Raw genomic sequence first — 23,300 nt, forward strand, 5'->3', positions numbered from 1 at the left:
GCAAGCTAGGGTTTGTGTTGAGTGAGAGTGTTGTGGAATTTGGAGCTTTCTTTAGTATGTAGGGGATTGGAAATTGCCTTTTTGGGTTTCCTTCATCTAATGTTAGAGGAATATAGGGGGGTCACTTGAAGTTCTCATCTGATGGAATCCTCATTGTGTTGAGGGGTGTAACTAAGAGGCTGGAGGTACGAGCTCCTGTTTTTTAGGGCCTGGAGGATCACTACCTTTGACTCCCATTTTTTAAATATTGGGGAGTCAGGGAAGTGTACCTGGATGGAGGTCCCATTGTCTTAGTTTGGGAAGAAGATGGGTTGTTATTCTGTGGGGGTCCACTTATCTCTGTCCAGTGGGTTTGGAAGGGTCTCTTTTAACCTATTTTATCTAGTGTTGAGGGGGTTACTAGAGTCACTTTCTGGGTCTTCCTTATTATTGGTATAGATGAGGTAGGTCACTGGGCTTGGGATCCTCATTCTTTAGTGCTGAGGGGCAGCTGAGGAAGTCACTTGTGGGATTGCTGTCATTTCAAGTATCAGACATAACTGGAGGTGCTTATTGAAATTTCCATCAGTTCTAGTTTTGGGAGGATGGATGTCTTGCTTTCTCAGTATCTTTTGTGTTTGGGGATGACACCTGCTAACTGAGGTCTTGTTGCCTCTAGTTTTGGAGGGGCCTGATGACCCCTTACTAGGACTTCTATCATCTCTATTGTTGGATGCAGACTATACGCACCACTTGTTGGGCCTTCCATAATCACTAGTCTTGTGTGTTTGTGTGTGTTGGGGGAGAAATCTCCTGCAGTGCTTTCCACCACCTCTAGTTTGGGGAGATCAATGCAATGTGTTTTTAAAAGCATTTTATTTTGGAAAGTTTAGATATACATAAAAGTTGTAAAACTATACAGGGTTGTTTTATACAGTCAGTACTGATTTATATTTACTTGCATCTTATGTTTCCTGTTGATCTTAATTCCTGGAATTATGTATGTCTCTATGGAATCATTTTCCTGAAGCCTGAAGAAATCTCTTCAGTGTTTCTGAAAATACGGTTATGCTGTTAATTCTCTCAGCTTAAAAAAATCCCTCCCAGGCCGGGCGTGGTGGCTCACGCCTGTAATCCCAGCACTTTGGGAGACCGAGGTGGGCAAATCATGTGAGGTCAAAGGATCGAGACCATCCTGGCCAACATGGTGAAACCCTGTCTCCACTAAAAATACAAAAATTAGCTGGGCGTGGTAGCACACACCTGTAGTCCCAGCTACTCAGGAGGCTGAGGCAGGAGAATCACTTGAACCCAGGAGGAGGAGGTTGCAGTGAGCCGAGATCATGCCACTGCACTCCAGCATGGCGACAGAGTGAGACTCCATCTCAAAAAAAAAAAAAAAAATATTCCCTCCCATTGGAAAACATTGTTGCCTTCAGTTTTGAAGAATATTTTCTTAGGTTACAGAACTTTTGATTGACAATTTCCCCCTCCTCCAACCCATTTAACCCTTTATATGTCAGATGTCATTCATTGTCTTCTTGCTTCCATAGTTTCTTTTGAAAAGTCATCATTAGTCTTACTGATGCTGCTTTGAAAGCAATGTGTCCTTCTTCTTTGGTTGTTTGGTAGATTTGCAGTTTGTCTCTCATTTTCTATGGTTTGTCCATGTTTCCTCCATTTCCCTTAACATATTATTCTTGGTTATTTTAAAGTCTTTGTCTGCTAACTCCAATACCCAAATTGTCTCTGGATCTGCTATTGATTTATATATTCATAAATGGGGATATTTTCCTGTCTCAATGGATGAAGGAGAGTGAGGTCTGACCCTGGCTATTTCCTGCAGGAGGACCTGGGGCTGGATGCTATCGCTGACTGACCTCTCTCAGCTCCTGGAATGCAGCCCTCTCCTCTCGTCTCCAGATTCAGTTGCTCCCTCCCTTCGTCCCTTCAGGCTGTGAGGTGTTAGAGCTCTGCCCTGCTAAGCTGCTGGGTGCTTTACAACTTTTTGTGGTTTCCCTGGATCCTGTCCACAGGACTGAGTAGACCCTTTATGAAAACTCTACTTGAATTGTCCTAGTCTGTGGGTGTCAACCTGAGTTCCTGCTGGGACCCTGACTGATGTGCCAACTCACTGAAATAAGGAAAAGTCCTAACAATGTCTCAGAAAACCCAACAAGATCAGGATCTACCATGTCTCTGACCACATCATCTTTTACTGCTCCCTCATCACCCCTTTGTTCCACTCCAGCTGTATTGGCCTCCTTGTTGTGGGCCTTTGCATGCCAACACTACTCTTGCAAGACAAATTCATATGACTCACTGTCCCAACTTGTTGAGATCTCCGCTCAAATGCTCCTTACCAAGAGGCTTTCTTTTCCTAGTTATATAAAATTATTATTCCCAACCCCCCTTAACTCTCCTAAAATGCTTTTTTTTCCTATAACTCTATAATACCATATTTTCTTGATTTTTCTATAATCTGTTCCTCCTCCATTAGGTGAAGTATTTCAATGGCAAAACTTTGCCTGGCACACAGAACATACTCCGTTAATAGGGTAGTGGTTAAGTGCATGGACTGTCTGGGTTCAGATCTTGGCTCTACCATTTACCAGTCAGTGAATGCAGGCAAGTAACTTAAGTGTATCATACCAGTTTTCTCATCTGTAAACTGGGGATAATAACATTACATACTTAAGTTTATAATGCATACTGAGTTAATACTTATATGTCATTTAGAAGGGGGCCTGATCTATGGGAAGTGCAATATAAATGTCTGACCATCAGGAGTTCGAGACTAGCCTGGCCAACATGGTGAAACCCCATCTCTACTAAAAATATAAAAAAATTACCTGGGCGTGGTGGCAGGTGCCTGTAATCCCAGCTACTCAGGAGGCTGAGGCAGGAGAATTGCTGGAACCTGGGAGGCCAAGGTTGCAGTGAGCCGAGATCGCACCATTGCACTCCACCCTTGATGACAAGAGTGAAACTCCATCTAAAATAAATAAATAAATAAATAAATGTTTGACCATTTATTATTAATGCATTACAATACTTTGCTATGTAAAAATATCATCTCCACATAAAAAGGAATACAGAATACCTAATCCTGTATGCATCTAGTTACATAATGTCAAAATATATAAAAATGACAAAATTACAGTGTTAATACATAAACATAATGGAAGAGTTTACCACACCTCTATCACTAAATAAGGTTAGAAAAAGAAATCTGAACATACGTACTGTACTTGGAAATACAATTAAGTTGCATTAATGTTCATATACCCTATATCCAAATATTAGAGAATATACATTGTTTTCAAAGAAACAACATGGGTAAAACTTGACCAATTTATAGGTTTACCAGTTAGATTCTGCATCCTGCTGGAAGTTAACAGAACACCACCTCAAAAACAAACAACAGATCATGTTGGCTTCAATCAGTTAGGGGTTTCTTTTTTTAAAAATATTTATTTGTTTATTTTGAGATGGAGTCTCGCTCTGTTGCCAGGCTGGAGTGCACTGGCGCCATCTTGGCTCACTGCAACCTCTACCTCCCAGGTTCAGGCAATTCTCCTGTCTCAGTTTCCCGAGTAGCTGGGAATACAGGTGTGCACCACCACACCCAGCTAATCTTTATACTTTTAGTAGAGATAGGGTTTCACCACGTTGGCCAGGATGGTCTCAATCTGTTGACCTCATGATCCACCCACCTCAGCCTCTCAAAAGTGCTGGGATTAAAGGCGTGAGCCACCACACCCAGCCTAGGGGTTTCTTTTAGTCACATAAGAAGTATAAGAATAAGGAGTCCAGAGCAGATGCAGCCAATCGGAGGCTCCTGGAGAGCCCAAAGCATTGTGATTTTTGGCTGCACTTTGGTTTCTGTCATTGTGGTCAAAAAGAAGCTCTTCAAACTCTAGACCTTGAGGCCACTTTCCAAGAGACAGAATGGGTGAGGTGAATGGAAAATATGTGAGGAGAACAAGCCAGGAGATGTTCCACACAGTGACTTCGACTTACTTCTCATTGCCAGGGGAGTGCGAAAAAACCCGCCTGGGCTTCAGGAAAAACTATAAGATTGAGAACTTTCGATATTGTTCACAGACAACTTGAACAACATGTTTGTTTCTTTAAACGAATAAACTGAAGAGAACGGACACTGGGAAAGAAACCAACAGTATTTGGCATACCAAGATAGAGAGAAAATAATCAGTATCATAAAGCTCATGTACTCTGCCAAAAATACCACTACATTAGAAAAATGTGTTTATAAATACTAATTTCCATTATGATAAACTGAATCACTCAGAAGGTATTTGGAAATAACTTTTTGAATATGCAATGTGTGGATGTCTTTAACAAGCAAATTAATTATAATAAATACATTGCATTAAAATTATGAAATATGTTAATGTTTATTTTAGGGAACAGCTATACACAAATGTTTATATTAAAAGAAAAAAAGACTAAAAAAATTAATGAGCCAGCAGTCCAATCTACAGATGAGACACTGATAAAGGATATCCCACACTCAAAACAGTGATTATACTTTTTGTTCCCAGTGAAAATTGTGGCCACTCAGTGAAGAGTTCAGGCTGAGGCATCCTAACACTGATTACATTCCTAGGGGTTTCTCCATATAAGTTCTCTCATATACAAGAAAGAGAAGAATCACTGAAAAATTTTCCAATATTAATATACTCATAGGTTTTGCATCCAGGGAGAAGTTCCATATTTTCCCTAACACAGAGGCATCACTGAAGGCTTTCTCTTCTTCTTTATATTTCAAGTTTCTCTGTAGTGTGAATGCTCACAAGTTTCCTAACAAATGTAGAAAAACAGAAAGCTCTCCAATATTGATGATGTTCAATGGGGCATTCTCTCCAGAATTAATTCTCAAGTCCCTTAAAAACCGATAGAACATTCAAGGCTTTCCCATAGTCACTGCAGAATACCACACTATAGTTTGCTCAGTAATGTGAACACTTTTGCTGTAGGGTATTCCGCATTTCTGAGTGTTGTTCCATTGTGTGATTTCCAGTGCGTCTTAAGGGATGACTGTCACTGAAGCCTTCTGAGACCTTCACAGGTTTTCTCCCTTAGTGTGAGCTGTCACATGAATCCCTGCTGATAGCACTGAAGGCTTTCTACAGCTGTTCCATTCTTCAGGATTCTCTCAGTACATAATCTTCTGGGCCCATGAAGGTGAGAATTCGAGCTGAGAGCTTTACCATACAGATTGTCCTCAAAAGGTTTCTCTTCAGAGTGAATTAATAGGAGTTACTGAATGCTATTTCATATTGATTAGAGTAGAAGGATGATGTGCTGAGGGCTTTTCTTCATTAATTCCATGGCAAATTTCCCAGATGCTTCTGAGTTATCTGTTTCCTGGTATTCATACCTTCTGCAGTCTCTCACATTGTATCAGGATTGGTGTGTTGTGAGACCAACACAATAGGAAATAAGTGAAAGCTTAGCAGTCCTCCTGAGGATAGGTCATAAAAGCCATTTTGGCCTCTGTATTGGTCCTCTCTTGGATCACTAACCTTGGCGAGAACTTATTGCCAAATTGTCAAGGAGCTGGGCCTTGTAAAGAGGCCTACATGGTAATGACTGAAGGTCCCCTGACAACAACCAACATCAACTTTCCAGGCATGTGAATAAGTCATCTTGGAAGTGGACTGTTCATCAGTAAAGATGTTAGATGACTATAGCTTTGGCTGACATCTTGATTGTAAGTAAAGGCATGAGAGATCCTGCAGTGTAACTACAGAGATAAGCTGTTCTTGAATTCCTGATCTGTAGAAATTGTTAGAGAATAAACATTTCGTGTTTGAAGCCACAAAATTTGCGGGGATCATTTGTTATGCTGCAACAAATAACTTATATATCCAGTGTGAGCTCTCTCAAACTATCTTAGGGATGAAAGATCAATGAGTGCTTTCCTCCAGAAGTTCCTGCAGTAATTCATATCCATCTATTATGTATTCTCTTGTGCACAGAAAGATAGGAGTTACTTGTGAAGGATTTCCCACAATGATTACATTCATAGGGTTTTTCTCCAGTGTGAGTTCTTAAGTGTTTCTTCACAGCTGAGAGATTATTAAAGGCTTTTCCACAGTCACTGCACTCGTAGGGTTTCTCTCCGGTATGTATTCTCTTGTGCACAGTAAGAGAAAAGCTACTGCTGAAGGATTTCCCACACTCGTTACATTCATAGGGTTTTTCTCCAGTATGAGTTCTTACGTGCTGTGTCAGATAGGAGCTCTTCCTGAAGGTTTTCCCACAATCGTGACATTCATAAGGTTTCTCCCCTGTATGAATGCTATTGTGCCCAGTGAGAGAGGACCTTGTGCTGAAAGCTTTTCCACACTGATTACATTCATGGTGATTCTCCCCCGTGTGAATCCTCTTGTGGCTTTTGAGGTTACAACTGGTGCGGAAAACGTGAAAACACTGGTTACATTCATAGGGTTTTTCTCCAGTGTGAATTCTCAAATGCAGTCTAAGGGATGAGGGATCACTAAATGCTTTCCCACAGTGATTGCATTCATAGGGTTTCTCCCCATTATGGATTCTCTTATGAATAGTAAGGTAAGATCTGCTACTGAAGGACTTCCCACATTGACTACAGTCATAGGGTTTTTCTCCAGTATGAATTCTCTTGTGCTGAGTTAGGTTAGATTTCGTGCTGAAGACTTTAAAACACTGATTACATTCATTGAGTTTCACTCCACGATGACTTCTTTCCTGTGGATTAAGAGATGAATGATAACTATAATTTATAATATTTGAAATACTTAATGTTCTCCTAGGAATCTTCTCTCCCAGGAATTCTGTTACATTATTATAATTGATATTTTGGCTACTTTCAGTGGTTGTATGTGATTTCTGCCCAGTTTTAGCTCTAAGAAAGTTAAAAAACATAGATGCTTTGCCACAAGTCCTTATCAGATGCACAAAACATTTTCTGATAACGTGTGGATGAAGTTTTGTTCCAACAGTCAATATCTGAGCCACAGATAGGAAATATTTACTTGTGGGAACTCTCCGTGAAGAAATAAGTTTGGAGCTAACTCACACTTCTCTAAATATTTATAATTTTCACAGTGTCTCTCCAGGAACACAGCATTCTCAATTATAAATGACACTTTCCTTTAATGCCTCTCCTGGTTATTTTGTGCCCTTTCTAAACTTAAGGCATTCTCCTACTGTAGAAAACCAGAAATCACCCATGTTAGTCTTACCGTTTTTACACCTTTAGACTGTTCTTTTCTGAAAACATTCTTCTTAGGAGTTAACCATTTGGCTTTAAGTAGAGTCTCCAAATCTGAAACAAATTGAAAAGAAATTTAGGTTGATGGAGAAAAGAAATGGAAAAGTGTACACATGAGTAAAGGCAGATTCTGAGGGATCAGGGTTTTTGAGGATGTTTGCAACAAAGAGGATTTGGTTATGAAAATTTTAGGTATTAATTTTAAAAAAGGATTCTAGACAAATTGAGATTGATCACAGATTGACAAGAGGAGTGATCAGGAATGCAAAGTGGAAAGGAACTTGACTGAAATTTTCAAAAGAGTTGCATCTTTGTTTCTTCCCTGAGCCCAAAGTGAAGTATGAGATGATGACAAGGGAGTTAGAGAGAAAAGAAAGGACATGAGGAAGCTCACACCAAATGTTCTCGTGCATGTTTGTCAGGAACAGGGTATTTTACAAAGTTCCCTGATTGACATGAACTAATGTAATACTCCCAACCCCCAAGTCACTGGCCAGAGCTATTCCTCACAAGGGCTCATATCCACCTGGTGCTCACCTGGACAGGTGCTTGGTAGAATTCCTCTTTCCTCTGTCACCACCTTCTTGTCTTGTTCCAACTGGGATATCAGACTGGGTTTATTAACACGACACCCTATTTATGGAAACAATACACATGATATAGGTAACAGTGCTGGGGACAACCAAGTCCATGAAAGAAAGCCAACATTTATGAAGATGGAAAAGTGTGACTTTAGGAGCAGTGAAATAAATTATGCCTTAATTCTTTTCTTTTTTTTATTTATTTTGAGATGGAGTCTTGCTCTGTCGCCCGGGTTGAAGTGCAGTGGCATGATCTCGGCTCACTGCAACCTCTGCCTTCCAGGTTCAAGCGATTCTCCTGCCTCAGCCTCCCAAGTAGTTGGGACTACAGGTGCACACAACCACGCCCGGCTAATTTTTGTATTTTTAGTAGAGACGGGGTTTCACCATATTGGCCAGGCAGGTCTTGATCTCTTGATCTCCTGGCCTCGTGATCCACCCACCTTGGCCTCCCAAAGTGCTGGGATTACAGGCATGAGCCACCACGCCCTGCCAATTATACCTTAATTCTAGTGCATATGGTAACTCTCACTGAACAAAAATGCAACAAGCATATTCAACTAGATATTCAGGGTGATAGGGCATAAACAGCCCCAGAAGGCCATGCCTGAGTTCAAATGCACACTTCAGAGGCCCCAAAACTTTTAACCATGAAGAATATAAAGTCAGGACAAGAAATAGATCTTCAGTTCATAAGGCAGGAATTAGAGACTGCCCATGAGGGTGGGACCATATGGTCCCATTCATCACTGTACTCCCAAGTCACTGCACAGACCTAGGAACACAGAGGTGCTCAAGAAAACTTGAAAGAAGTGATGACAGTGACAGTGGTGGAGGACGGAATTCCAAACGTTCATCCCTCCACAAAAACAGTGAGTAAACTGGCAAAAGCGGTCCGAATCAACTTTATCGGAATTCTTGAAATGTATCAAAAGTCCACAGCAATCAGGAGAATGCCTTCTCAGAAAACCCAGCTGAATCTGGGTAAGAGAGCTTTATGATACTTTAAATGGACCTCTTTCCCCTGCTTTTTCTACAACCTTGAAGACAACAGCCTGCATTCCTAGTACTTGCAGGGAGCAGAACAGACCTTACTCTGTGGTTGCTCTTCCTGACCTGTCTGGTGGTTCCCTGAAGGACTGGCTCAAAGGGTTGTCTTTATTTATCTAACTCCAAATTCTTTCAGGACTGAGCTGGTTACCTGGAACACACGTGATCGACAGATGTAAAGGTAAATGTATTAGTCAGTACTGCTTGAGGCAAGAGAAAACAGTAGAAGCAAACAAAAGACTAACCGAAAAGCCTGAAAGGAAAAATGGGGAAAAAGATGTTTGGGGAGTAGGACTTTGAAAATCTTCCTCATATTCTTAAGAACCTGTAATTCCAAGCACATACTCAGGGCTGGGAGCATGCCCAGAAAATACCTGAGAAGGCACAAAACCCTCATCTTTTGGTGACCTTCAGGCTCTGCACAAGCCAGAAATGAAGGTCAAGGCACAGTTAAATGCCTACCTAAGTATTAAAGGCATGTCCCTATGTACACACAGAGCCCACGTAAAGAGACTAGAAGTTTTTTCCTTTTTTGTTCCAGGCCTTCAAATCACTATATGACCATTACGCTATCAGAAAAGAGACTTCGGTGGCCACACATGACAAATACAGACATTACAAAGTTAGTTCTGAAATAGAACTATTGTATATTCTAACAGGAGTTTACAATATATGATATTCTACAACTTTAGAACACACAATAGTTCTATTTCACAACTAACTTTAGAACTGTTGTATGTTCTATAGATACAATACCAACTACAACAAGTAAAACAAACTCTGGAGATGGGGAAAAGTCTGATTCCCAAATTGCTATATTATAATATTCCAAATACCCTAGTTTCAACAAAATAATTATGAGGGAGGCAAGGAAACAAACGTTGGGCCCATTACAAGAAAAATGAAGCTGGTAGAAATTGTCCCTTCAGAAGTTCAAACACTGGACTTAACTAGACAAGTAAAATAAGTCAACTATTTAAAATCTGCTAAAAGATGTAAAAGAAATATGTATAAAGAACTAAAGGAAACCATGAATACAAATTTTCATCAAATGAAAAACAGCAAAATAGGTACAACTATGGCATATCAAAAAAATACAAAAAATGGAAAACATTAAGAGACAGAAACTTTAGGAAGGCAAATAAAAAAATTTGAGTTGAAAAGTACAATAGCTGAAATGAAACATTCAGAACATATCTGAGCAGGCAGAAGACAAAATTGGTGACCATGAAGATAGGACAATCGATATTATCCAGTCTGAGGAGCAGAAAAAAGAGAGATGCCAGGTGCAATGGCTCATGTATAATCCCAGCATTTTGGGAGGCTGAGGCAGGAGGACTGCTTGCAACCAGGAGTTCAAGACCAGCCTGGGAAACATGGTGAGATCCTGACTCTACAAAAAATTAAAAAAATTAGCTGGGCATGGTGATGCACGTCTCTAGCCATGCCTCCCTATTTGGGAGGCTGAGGTGGGAGGATCACTTGAGCCCAGGAGGTCAAGGCTGCAGTAAGCCACAATCACTCTGCTGCACTCCGGCCTAGGTGACAGAGTGAGTGAGAACCTGTCTCAAAGATAAAGAGAGAGAGAGAGAGAGAGAGAATGTGAGTTTTAAAAAAGATGAACAGAGCCTGAGACCTTTGGGATACCATCGAACCTACCAACATATATAGGATGTGGAGAACCAGAGAGATGTAAAGAGAGAAAAGGGTGAGAAGGTTGAAGAAATAATGGCTAAAAACTTCCCAAAATTTGATGAAAGGCACAAATGTACAAATCCAAGAAGCTCAACAAACTCAAGTAGAATAAATTTGAAAAAATAGAGATTCATACTGAAACACACACACACACACACACACATTTTTTGAGCCAGGGTTTTATTCTGTCACCCACGCTGGAGTGCAGTGGTGTGATCATGGCTCACTGCAGCCTTAATCTCCTGGGGTCAAGCAATCCTTCCACCTCAGCCTTCCAAGAAGCTGGGACCATAGGTGTGCACCAGCACGTCTGACTAATTTTTTAATTTTTTGTAGAGACAGGGTCCAAGTTGCCCAGGCTGGTCTCATACTCCTGACCTCAAGGGGTCCTTCTGCCTCAGCCTCCCAAAGTGTTGGGATTATAGGCGTGAACCATTGCAGCCGGCATCAAACACATATTAATCAAACTGTTGAAAGACAAAGGCAGCATCCTAAAAACAGCAAGACGGAGATGACTTATGACGTAAACAGGATCCTCGGTAAGATTACAGTCAATTTCTCAATAGAAACCATGGAAACCACCAAGCGCTGGAGTGGTACATTCAAAGAGCTGAGAAAAAATGGCAACCAAGAATTCTATATCTGGCAAAACTCCCCTTCAAAAATAAAGAAATGAAGACCTTCCCATAAACAAAGACTGAGTGTTTGTCACTATTACATCTACCCTACAAAAAATGATCAAGGGTGACTTCAGGACAAAATGAAAAGATAATGGAGAGTAACTTGAATCCACAGAAGGAAGTGAAGAACACAGGTAAAGGTAAATACAGAGGTGAATATAAAAGTCACTGACAATGTGTTTTTGGTTTATAACTTCTCTTTTATTACTACATAATTTAAAGACAAAAGCATAAATGATTACACATCTACATTAATGGGCACACAATGCATACAGATGCAATTTGTGACAAAATTACTAAACAGAACAGCTACAGTGAAACAAAGTTTTTATATACTATTGAAACTAAGTTGCTATTAAACTAGATTGTTATAAATTAAAATGCTTATTAAAATTCTCAGGGCAACCACTAAGAAAATAACTAAAAAGATTAAAAAGAAATGAGAAGGGAATCAAAATGGTCCACTAGAAAATATCTAACACAAAACAACAATGAAAGAACTTAGGAACAAAAATGATATGACACGTAGAAAAAAGTAAATAGTTATAGAGCAAATAGTAAATAGGCAGAAGTAGCTCCTTCCTTATCAGTAATTACATCATTACAAGGTGGATTTTGGCAGAATGGATTTAAAAAATAACCCAATTACAGATGGTCCCCAGCTTACCATGGTATGATTTTTTAACTTTATGATGGTACAAAGATCATACGCATTCAGTAGAAAGCACACTTCAAGTACCCTACAACCATTCTATTTTTCACTTTCAGTACCATATTAAATATATAATTTATAATTGTTGAGATATTCAATACTTTATTTAAAATACACTGCTATGTTAGCCCACTGCCCAACTGTAGGCTAATGTAAGTGTTCTGAGCATGTTTAGGCTAGGCTAACTTATGATGTTCAGTGGGTTAGGTGAATTAAATGCATTTTTGACTTTTTTTTTTTTCATTGTTTTGCATTTTTGACTTATGGTATTTTTAACTTACAATGGCTTTATTGGGACATAGCCCCATCAAAGTTGCGGAGCATGTGTACATACTGTCTATAAGACACTTGCTTTATATTCAAAGACACAAATATGGCCAATAGTGAAAGAATGGAAAAAGATATTTCATACAATAAAAATTGTTATAAAACAGAGAAAGACATTATAGTTGTATAAAGCATCAATTTATGGAGAAAATGTAACGATTATAAACATATATGTGCCTAATAAGAACTCCAAAATGTATGAAGTAAAAACTGGCATAATTGAAGGAAGATATAGAGTGTTCTATAATAATCGTTTGAGACTTCAATACTCCACTTTCAATAATGGATAAAACAACATATTAGAAGATCAAAAAGGAAACAGAAGGATTAAACAATAAACTAACTAGACCTAACAAATATATAAAGAACACACCACCCAACAAGAGAATCCATATTCATCTCAAATGCACATGGAACATTCTCCAGGATAGATTATATGTTAGGCTATAAAAAAAGTCTGACTAAATTAAAAAACAATGAACTCATACAAAGTATCTTCCTTAACCACAATGGAATGAAATTAAAAATGAGTAACAGGGCCAGGCGCAGTGGCTCACGCCTGAAATCCCAGCACTTTGGGAGGTCGAGGTGGGTGGATCACGAGGTCAAGAGATTGAGACCATCCCGGCCAACATGGTGGAACCCTATCTCTACTAAAAATACAAAAATTAGCTGGGCGTGGTGGTGCGCACCTGTAGTCCGAGCTACTCGGGAGGCTGACGCAGGAGAATCACTTGAGCCTGGGAGGCGGAGGTTGCAGTGAGCCGAGATCGCACCACTGCACTCCAGCCTGGTGACAGAGTGAGACTCTGTCTCAAAAAAAATAATAAAGTTATGTATTGGAAGCCTTAATATTGTTAAGGTGACAATACTACCCAAAATTATCTACAGAGATAAAACAATCACTATCAAAATTCTGAGTTTTTTTTCCTTTCAGAAATACACAAACTGATCTGAAAATTCATGGCATTGCGAGGGATCTTGAACAGACAAGAAGTGAAAAAGAAGAATAAAGTAGAAAGATTTACACTTACTGTTATCAAAACTTACTACAATGTAACAATAATCAAGGCATTGTGGTACTGACCCAAGGACAGATACATAGACCAATGGAGCCAGGAGCAGTGGCTCATGCCTGTAATCCCTGCACTTTGGGAGGCCCAGGTAGGCGGATCACTTGAGGTCAGGAGTTCGAGATATACAGACCAATGGAACAGAATTGAGAGTATGTAAATAAACTCCAGTGTGTATGGCCACATAATTTTCAATAAGGGTACCAAGGTCATTTGATGGGGAAAGAATAAAGGTGGTGAGACAACTGGATATACACACATGCAAAAGAATGAAGTTGACCCTTTCTCCACACCATAAGCAAAATTCACTCAAAATCTATCACACAGCTGAGTGGAATTGTTAACACTAGAAAATTCTTGGAAGAAAACATAGGGGTAGATCTTCATGACCTTGACTTGAGCAATGGTTTCTTAGGTATCACACCAAGAGCACAAGCAAAAAAGAAAAACTAGATACAACAGACTTCATCACAATTAAAATTTTTTTTGTCTTCTGAGACGGAGTCTCGTTCTGTCGCCTAGGCTGGAATATAGTGGATCTCGGCTCACTACAACCTCTGCCTCCCAGGTTCAAGTGATTCTCTTGCCTCAGCCTCCCGAGTAGGTGGGATTACAGGCACCTGCCACCACGCCTGGCTAATTTTTGCATTTTTAGTAGAGATGGGGCTTCACTAAGTTGGCCAGGCTGGTCTTGAACTCCTGACCTTAAGTGATCCATCCATCTCAGCCTCCCAAAGTGCTGGGATTACAGGCGTGAGCCACTCTGCCTGGTCACAATTAAAACTTTTGTGCATCAAAGGACACTATCAAGAAAATGAAAAGACACCCAAAGAATAGAGAAATCATTTATGTATTATATTTTGAATAAGGATTTGGTACCCAGAATATAAAATGAACTTTTAAAATCCGACAACAAAAATAAACAACCCAAGTAAAACATGGGCAGAGGACTGGGAGCGGTGGCTCACACTTGTAATGCCAGCACTTTGGGAGGCCAAGGCAGGCGGATCATTTGAGGCCAGGAGTTTGAGACCAGCCTGGCCAACACAGCGAAACCCTGTCTCTATAAAAAATACAAAACAATTTAGCCAGGCATGGTGGCACATGCCTGTAATTCCAGCTACTTGAGAGGCTGAGGTATGAGAATCACTTGAACCCGGAAGGCAGAGGTTGCAGTGAGCCGAGATCGTGCTGCGCCACTGCACTCCAGCCTGGGCGACAGAGGGAGACTGTGTCAAAACAAGCAAACAAACAAATAACAACAATAACAAAAATGGGCAAAGGACTTGAATAGACATTTTTCCAAAGAAAAATACTCAACAAGTACATGAAAAGATGCTCCATGTCATTTGTCATTAGAAAAATGCAAATCAAAACAAGAACGAGATAGCACTTCATACCTACTGGTATGAGTATAATCAAAAAGGCAAGTGCTGGGAAGATGCAGAGAAGCTGGAACCCTCCTGCATTGGCGGGAACGTGCAATGGTGCAGCTGCTGTGGAAAAGTCTGGCAGTTCCTCAAGAAGCTAAACACAGACCTAGCCTTCCACTCCTAGTATATGCCCAAGAAAATGGAAAGTGGGCATTTAAACAAAAGCTCGTACACAAAAATTCATAGTATTATAGCATTATTCTTGATAGTCAAAGAGTGGAAACAACTCAAATGTTTCTCAATAGAAAAATGGATTGGCAAAATGTGGTATGTCCATACAATGGAATATCATTCAGTCATAAGGAATGAAGCGCTGGTACAACATACAACATAGCTAAGTTTTTTTGTTTTGTTTTTTTTGAGACACAGTTGTGCTCTGTTGCCCAGGCTGCAGTGCAATGGCACAATCTCAGCTCACTGCAACCTCTGCCTCCTGGTTCAAGCGATTCTCCTGCCTCAGCCTCCTGACTAGCTGGGGATAGGTGTGTGCCACCACGTCCGGCTAATTTGTATTTTTAGTGGAGATGGGGTTTCACCATGTTGGTCAGGCTGGTCTCGAACTCCTGCCCTCGTGATCCGCCCGCCTCGGCCTCCCAAAGTGCTGGGATTACAGGTGTGAGCCACCACACCTGGCCCATAGCTAAGTTTTTAAAACACTGTGCTACATGAAAAGTCAGACACAAAAGGTAATGTATTTTGTAATTACATTTATATGATATGTTCTGGATAGGTAAATTCCTAAAGACAGACACCAGATGAGTGGTTACCAGCAGCAGTGGGTAGGGAAAGTAACGGGTATTGGCTGCTTCATAGGGACGGGGTTTCCTTCAGGGTGATGAAAATATGGTGATATTAGATAGTGTTGATGGTTGCACAATACCATGAATGTATGAAAAACCACTGGACTGGATATCTTAGAATGGTTAAAAATGGTGAATTTTATGTTGTATGGATTTTACCACAATAAAAAAAGTAAGCAAAGCAGGCAAGTGTTGCCACTGGAGTCATTAAATAAATGCAGGAATGACATTAGGCTTACCTAGTGAGGCCAGGTTCCTGCAGTTCTCCAGCATCACATCCCTGTACAGTGTCCTTTGGGCAGGGTCCAGCAACGCCCACTCCTCCTGGGTGAACTCCACGGCCACATCCTCGAAGGTTACCAAGCCCTAAAGCATTGCAAACATCACGGCTTAGCCAAGGACCACCCCCACCAACGTGCACAGGAAGAGGGGCCAGGAGAACAGAGCCAGGGCTGGGGAAACCTGAGCACGAGATGTTGGGGGGGGTGGTTCTGAGCTCACCTCCCAGGGTTCTGAGCTCCTCTCCCAGGGTTCTGAGCTCCTCTCCTGGGGTTCTGAGCTCTTCTCCCTGGCTTCTGAGCTCAGCCCTCAATGCTTGTCTCCTTAGGCCATTCCCAGGTCCAGTGCACAGTACCACAGAGCAGCTGCCTTTTCTCACTCAGACTGGGAGCTCCTGTGATCTTATTTCCCTCAATCTCCAGGGGATCATGGGCCCGTGACATGGCAGAAAGCAGAGAAATACTTGGTAAGTGAATGACTGATTTCCGTGGCGTTTATTAATTGCTTGGGTTTAGAACATCATCACGTCTTTACTTGGCTTTCCCTTAAAACTCTCAGGAGCACATGATGTACTCAGGGACCCTGGAGGGAGCTCTGAACCTGCAGTAAATGTTGACACACACTGACATTTTCTGGGCAGCCCTCACCCTCCATCTGATGCCTGGAAATCCTGGGATGCCTGAGGACCTGGTTTGGCCATGAGGCTCCAGGCTGCTGGAAGGTATCAAGTCCAACCTTCTGGCCAAAGGAATAATGATTTGGGAAAAGGAACATCTGACTCACCCGTAGCCAGCTTGTCAGGAGCTCATTAACCAGCTCTCCGCCCTGTGTGTGTCCTTTTTGCTGAGAGGCTGGGAACAGGGAAGACGGAGCTGGAGGAGGAGAAATGAGTCCCATGGATTCAGGCTTGTCTGACACCCACAGATCTGCCCCTGATTGACCACACCCACCTCCCACACCCACACGGATGAGGCACCACACAGTGCCCACCTACGCTCCATGCAAACACCTACCCACAGCTCTCCTAAGATACCCAAACACAGCCCTGTCTCACCAACCAAAGACAATAGGGCTCAAGGTCTGACTGCACTTGGGGAAGGGATTATTCCCACTTCACAGATGAGGAAACAAGTTCCAAGGGCGTCACTGTGTTTTTATCAGATTCACAGAAAGAACTAAAGGGAGAATTCAAAAGCTCCAGCACATTCACCACACAGGTGACATCCACAGACACCCAAATGCCTAAGTCCCAAATCCCGAGAGCTGCCCGATCAGACACGGAGGACCTCTGGGCCCCTGGGGCTCCACTCCTGCCTCACCTGCTCTGCCCAACCCCGCTCGTGTCCCATGCTGTGGGTCAGAACCTTTCAAGGCTGGACTCTGAGAAATGTCAGGACCCCACGACTCACCAGCAGTCGAGGGCAGGATGACAGCCGCCATCCTGTGACTCCGACAGCAACAGGGCAGCCGGGAAGCAGGACGCTCCTCCTTTATCCCGCAGCGCTCTGGAAGAAACGGGAATGCTCCAAGTCTCCGTGGCCTCCTCCCTCTCGGGCTGCTGGGGATGGGCCCTCCTCAACCCATCCTTCCCATCCTTCTTCAAATGCAAGTTCCGGCTTCCACACTGGGCCTTTATTTTGCTGAGCAGGCAATGAATTCAGGGCCACCTGATGGAAAACTTGCCTTCCTCTGTCCCCAACACAACGACCAGTACCTCCCTGACCCACCCGCTTTGAGAACCTCGGCTTCACGCAGTCTCACGGCATGTTCTTCCCATCCAAGCGCACCACAAACGCATTCCCGGCTACTCCCTCCTTCCCCGGGGACTCCGGCGCCTCCATAACTCCTCCCACCTCCAGTCCCAGCTCCTGGAGGATGTCAGAGACCCCCAGAGTCTCAGGAGTTCCTCAGCTCCAGGGCCCTTTGTTCCTTCTCTCATCAGCCACATGTTTCCACAGGTCCCCTCAGCCTTGGTCATCACCGGGCACTGTCCCACCACCCAGAACAACGTTCAGAAACTCCCCTCTCTCTGAACCCAACCTCCCTCCTCAACTTCCACGGCGTTCACTCCTTTTTTCTCTCACCGCATGTCCTCCGACCACACGCAGGCCTCAGTCACCTCCTCCTGCCTCGGTCACCCCCCTCCTGCCTCAGTCAACCCCTCTCCTGCCTCGGTCACCCCCATCCTGCCTCAGTCAGCCCCCCTCCTGCCTCGGTCACCCCCCTCCTGCCTCGGTCACCCCCCTCCTGCCTTGGTCACCCCCCTCCTGCCTGTGCTCTGCCTCAGTTACCCCCTCTCCTGCCCATGTTCTGCCTGTTACCCCAACTCCTGCCCTTGGTCACCCTGCTCCTGCCTGTGCTCGGCCTCAGTCACCCCCCTCCTGCCTCAGTCAGCCCCTCTCCTACCTATGCTCTGCCTTGGTCACCCCCTCTCCTGCCTCAGCCACCCCCTCTCTTGATTTCATCCTCACCCAGCTTGGATGTCACTGTCCCTCATTTCAGCTGATTTCCTCCTCCCTACCCCCCACTGTCATGCCAGCCCAGCAGAACTCCAGCCAGGCGTGACTTCAATCATCCACCTGCTCCAGGGGACATTCGGGCAGACCACCCTGTGCAAAGGCTGTGACGTTGCCACTCTGGAATAACACGGTCACCAACGTGTAGAGAACCCTCAGCCTGCAGGGCGATCCCACAGGTCAGCATGGCTTCCCACTCGTCAAACCTCCTCTCCTCTCTTTAAACTTCACACCTCCTCCCCTGTCCCCTCTGTGGTAACTGCTTCCTAACGAGCCCTTGACGATCCCAGCCTCCCGGTGCTCACACCCTGTGTAGGCCCGACGCACACACGGAATTAGAGCTGACCTGTGTGACCAGCAGAATATGGCTGAGGAGACAGCGGGGGTGGGTGCAGGGGTGACTTTCAGGACCAGGTCTTGGAAGGCACTACAGCTGCTTCCGCCTTGGTCTCCTGGATGTTGCTCTAGAGGACACCAGTTGCCATGGTGGGAAGACGCTCAAGTGGCCCTGTGGAGAGGCCTATGTGGAGAGGAACTGAGGCCTCCCACCGACGGCCAGCTCTGACTCGCAGGCCATGGAGTGGCCCCCGGTACCCGTTGAGCCTTCAGATGATGCAGACCCAGCTGACAGCCTTCTGCAAGTTTCCAGCCAGAGCCTTCCAGCCAAGCTGCTCCTGAATTCCTGAAACACAAAAACAGTGAGAGACGATACATGGTCATTGTTTCAAGTGACTAAGGTTTGAGATCATTTGTTAGGCAGCAAGAGATGACAAATCATCTCATTTTCAGCAGACAATCCCGATCCTGCTTCTCAGGGTAAAGATCATGAGGAGGAATCTACTTTCCTGTGTTGCTGCCAGCACTGCAACCTGTGCCCCACCCTTCTGCCTCCTCCCATCGCAGACAAGGAGCTGCCTGCCTTCTCCGCAGGGCTTGCTGGGCAGTTCTGGCCTGGGGTCCACCCTCCTGCTTTTGAGGAGCTGTCTGTGCTCGAAGCTCTCTCCTCCGCCCTTTCCCTTCTAGCTCTCCCGTGCTGCTAGACCCTTCCTCATGCCCCTCAAGCCTGATGTGGCATCTTCTGTAGTGCGATGAGCCCATCCTTGGGGTACAGCTTTCTTTCCGGTTACTGCCCCGTCTGTATCCCCCATCCCAGCCACAGCTCTTCACTCTGTCCCCTTTCCTGAGTCCTCACACGGTGCAATCTGGCTTCCCTACTATCATCCCAAGGACAATACCCTTGATGGAATCGACAATGACCTTACTCACCAGGGAGACGTGGATTGCAGCAACTCTGGCGCTATTTCCTATCTGGCAGGTCAACAGAGACACAGTGGCCCACACTCTTCATTCTCACACACTGCTGGGGGTAACCCCTAGGGAAGGAAACGTGCTGATGTCAAGCAAACCTGCAAAAAACATTTGTTCTTTCCTAGAACCCACTTCTAGAAATCTATCTCAAAGGTACACAAATACTGAAAGACACGTGTAAGATGATTCGCTGTGGCACTTCATATAATCGCAGAGGATTGAAAACACCACAAGTGACCATCAGTAGGGGATTGGGTGAATAAACTATGTGATAGCTTTAAGGTTGGTGCAAAAGTGATTGCGGTTTTTGCCATTACTTTCGATGGCAAAACCTGCAATTACTTTTGCAGCAACTTAATAAATAACAAAGAAACATGTAGCCAGGAAAAAAAAACCCCAAACCAAAACCAAAACAAAGAACCCCTGAAAAGATTTCTAGGTATTCAGAGAGATTATCTCCAATAAATTTAAGTGAAAAAAAAATCAAGGTACAAAGCAATGTCATGTGTCCTTTTTATAAGACGAGAAAGCCTCCTTTCTCCAGATTTATAGAATAAAACGTAACTCCATAAAGCCAGCTTCTGGAGGTTTCCATGTGTGACCTCCATGACATGAACCCAAAAGATAAAAGGAGTGAAGGGTGTGAATGGGCAGGGATGGGGGCACTGGACATTCAGGGTGAGTTCGGGTTCCGTCAAAAAATCAAGTTGGAGGGAGTCTTTGGCTCTTGGGCCTCTGTGGTAGACAGATGATTAACTTCCTGCTCTCCCAAGAAAGGGGTCTGTGTTCTAATCCCCAGAACCTCTGGATCTACTCCCTTACATGGCAAAAGGGATTCTGCAGCTGTGAGGAAGGCAAGGATCCTGACATGGGGGATGATGCTGGGTGGGCCCACTGTGATTACAGGGGTCCTTATAAAAGGGAAACAGGAGGGTCAGTTCAAAGAAGGATGGGATGAGATGAGAGAAGAAGGGAGCGTGTGTGTAGCAGGGAGGAGATAACATACAGAGAGACTGGAAGATGCTGCCCTGCTGGTGTTGATGATGGAGGAACAAGCCACAGTCAGGGAAGGCTGGTGGCCTCTACAAGATGAAAAACGCAGGAAATGGGTTCTCCCCTAGAGCCTCTAGAGCAGTGGTCCCCAACCTTTCTGGTACCAGGGACTGGTTTCGTGGAAGACAATTTTTCCATGGAGCACGGGGCGGCAGTGGGGCTGGGCAGGGAATGGTTTCAGGATGATGTTTTATAAGCACATTACATTTATTCTGCACTTTATTTCTATTATATTACACAGTAATATATAATGAAATAATTATACGACTCACCATAATATAGAGTCAGTGGGAGCCCTGAGCTTGTTTTCCTGCAACTAGATGGTCCCATCTGGGGGTGATGGGAGACAGCAACAGATCATCAGGAATTAGATTCTCCTAAGGAGTGTGCAATCCAGATCCCTCACATGCAAAGTTCACAATAGGGTTTGGGCTCCTATGAGAATCGAATGCTGCCACTGATCGGCCAGGAGGTGGAGCTCAGGTGGTAATGCGAGCAATGAGGAGTGGCTGTAAATACAGATGAAGCTTCGCTCACCTGCCACTCACATCTTGCTGTGCAGCCCTGTTTATAAGCACTGGTCCGTGGCCCAGGGGCTGGGGACTCCTGCTCTAGAGGGAATGCAGGCCTTCCAGCTTATTGAGGATTTCTGACCTCCAGCAAGGCAAGAGGATAAATGTGTGTTGTTTTAAGTCCCTGAATTTGTGGTAGTTTGTTATAGCATCAATAGGAAACTAACATGCCTTTCACATCACACCTTCCCTTTGGGTGAGTTCAGCAGACCCAGGCAACTGCTGCAGAACTTCCCTACCCTCTACAGGGGGAAGTATCTCCTTTTTCCCCGTAACAGACCTAATGTGCAGGTAGGCACACAGTAGTTCCAGTCACTGAGCTGGGGAGTGAGGGGGGGTTGGCCTCCAGCCAGCTCACTGGGCCTCCAAGAAAAAAACAAGTAGAGAAGGTACCTGGGACATTTTCAGGCCCCAAGTCCCTATTCAAGGCTGTCTGGAAGCAGAAATTTCCCACTAGGACAGGAGGGGTCTCTTCAGTTTACAGATCCTGTGACACCTGCCCTGCCCTGGATACAGTGCTGGAGGATGGTCACAGCAGATGGGCCACTCTATGTCAGCTGCCCAACACAACTTCTGGTGATGATGGAAATGTTCTATAATTCTGCTCTAATACTTGAAATGTGACTAGTATGGCTGAGAAAATAAATTTTATTTTTTTTGGGAGCAATCATCTGATTCCTAAACTACCTCCAAACACCCCCTCTTTTGCCTCTTAAATGTCTTCCTTCTGAATCCTGAAGTCCTTGTTATCTGCATGCTTACACTACATGCAAATTGCATCACCCTCTGGCCCACAACTCTTTAGTGTCTTCCCACTGGCCTGAGAACAGAGTCTGAAGTGAGGCCTAGTATGGTTCTGCCTCCCTCTTGATCTTGGTCTTGGTCACACTTCTTTCCCTATTCTTTTTTTTTTTTTTTTTTTTTTTTGAGGAGTCTCACTCTTACACCCAGGCTGAATGCAGTGGTGCAATCTCTGCTCACTGCAACCTCAGCCTCCCAGGTTCAAGCAATTCTCTTGTCTCAGCCTCCCGAGCAGCTGGGACTACAGGTGTGCACCACCACACCCAGCTAATTTTCGTATTTTTAGTAGAGACGGGGTTTCACCATGTTGGCCAGGCTGGTCTTGAACTTCTGACATCAGGTGATCAGCCCACCTTGGTCTCCTAAAGTGCTGGGATTACAGGTGTGAGCCACTGCGCCCAGCTTCTTTCCCTGTTCTTGTCTCGGCTTCAGCCATCCCTGTGTTCCCAGTGCAGGGAGCGTGGCAGCCTCTCTCCTGCTGCAGGGCCTTTCCTTACACAGCTTCTTCGACGGCAGTGCTCTCTTGGACATAACCCTGTCCCCTCACTCTAGTCGAGCCCTATGACTAGCTACATCTGACCCCAACTTGGAGATGGAGCAGCAATTCCCTTTTTCAGGGGCCTGTGAACCCCAAGTGGGAAAATAAAGGAAAATCCTGAAGTTCCTTTAAGGGAAATTCCGAGCATCCAGCTAGCCCCAAAAGTAAATATGGAACTTGTTAAACAGGAAGGTAATAGTAACCTAAAACAACAGCCAAAGAAGTTAAGGCTCCAGAGATGTTCGCTTTCCCCATGGAAACTAAAGATAACATCTTAACATGCGTCCCTGAGTTGCCTTTCAGAGGCTGGGACTCCCACTGAGGACCCCACCAAATGGAGCTGCTGGCTCAGAGACCCCAGATAAGCGGGACATGAAGGCTGAGCTTCAGCGTTCTTTGTGCTAAGTTTCTTCTTGAGGGGCTTGGAGAAAGTCACTTCTCCCAGCCAGTTAACATTTTCCTACTGACTCTAAATTTTTAAACAAAGCTTCTTTTCTTTAACCAATTACAAATCAGAAAAATCTTTGAATCTACCTATGACAAGCTCCTGCTTCAAGACATCCTTGCCCTTTTAAGTCTAAACCAGTGTGTAACCTCCATGTATTGCTTTATGATTTTGCCTGT

The 23,300-nt window shown here is 43.9% G+C and overlaps 1 protein-coding gene across 16 annotated transcripts in view; it reads right to left on the reverse strand.

The window, feature by feature from the left end:
- Nucleotides 1–838: 838 nt before the first annotated feature.
- ZNF558 (zinc finger protein 558) overlaps nucleotides 839–23,300 on the reverse strand; it is a 31,975-nt gene continuing 9,513 nt past the window's right edge. For 4 of the 16 annotated variants that reach the window (XM_024451393.2, XM_024451387.2, XM_024451386.2 and 1 more), the window contains 8 exons: nucleotides 19,671–19,777; nucleotides 18,751–19,086; nucleotides 17,298–17,393; nucleotides 16,672–16,760; nucleotides 15,849–15,975; nucleotides 7,796–7,891; nucleotides 7,230–7,312; nucleotides 2,832–6,732 (listed from right to left, as the gene is read on the reverse strand). In XM_024451393.2, the coding sequence (XP_024307161.1) occupies nucleotides 5,950–6,732; nucleotides 7,230–7,312; nucleotides 7,796–7,891; nucleotides 15,849–15,975; nucleotides 16,672–16,760; nucleotides 17,298–17,328 (1,209 nt within the window). In that variant the 5' untranslated portion in view covers nucleotides 17,329–17,393; nucleotides 18,751–19,086; nucleotides 19,671–19,777 and the 3' untranslated portion in view covers nucleotides 2,832–5,949. Of the gene's footprint in view, nucleotides 6,733–7,229; nucleotides 7,313–7,795; nucleotides 7,892–15,848; nucleotides 15,976–16,110; nucleotides 16,762–17,297; nucleotides 17,556–18,750; nucleotides 19,087–19,670; nucleotides 19,778–23,300 lie in introns of those variants that run through there. The other 12 variants (XM_024451391.2, XM_024451395.2, XM_047438268.1 and 9 more) reach the window with 6 other exon arrangements.

Source organism: Homo sapiens, chromosome 19 (genome assembly GCF_000001405.40).
Source record: "Homo sapiens chromosome 19, GRCh38.p14 Primary Assembly".
Taxonomy (NCBI): Eukaryota; Metazoa; Chordata; class Mammalia; order Primates; family Hominidae; genus Homo; species Homo sapiens.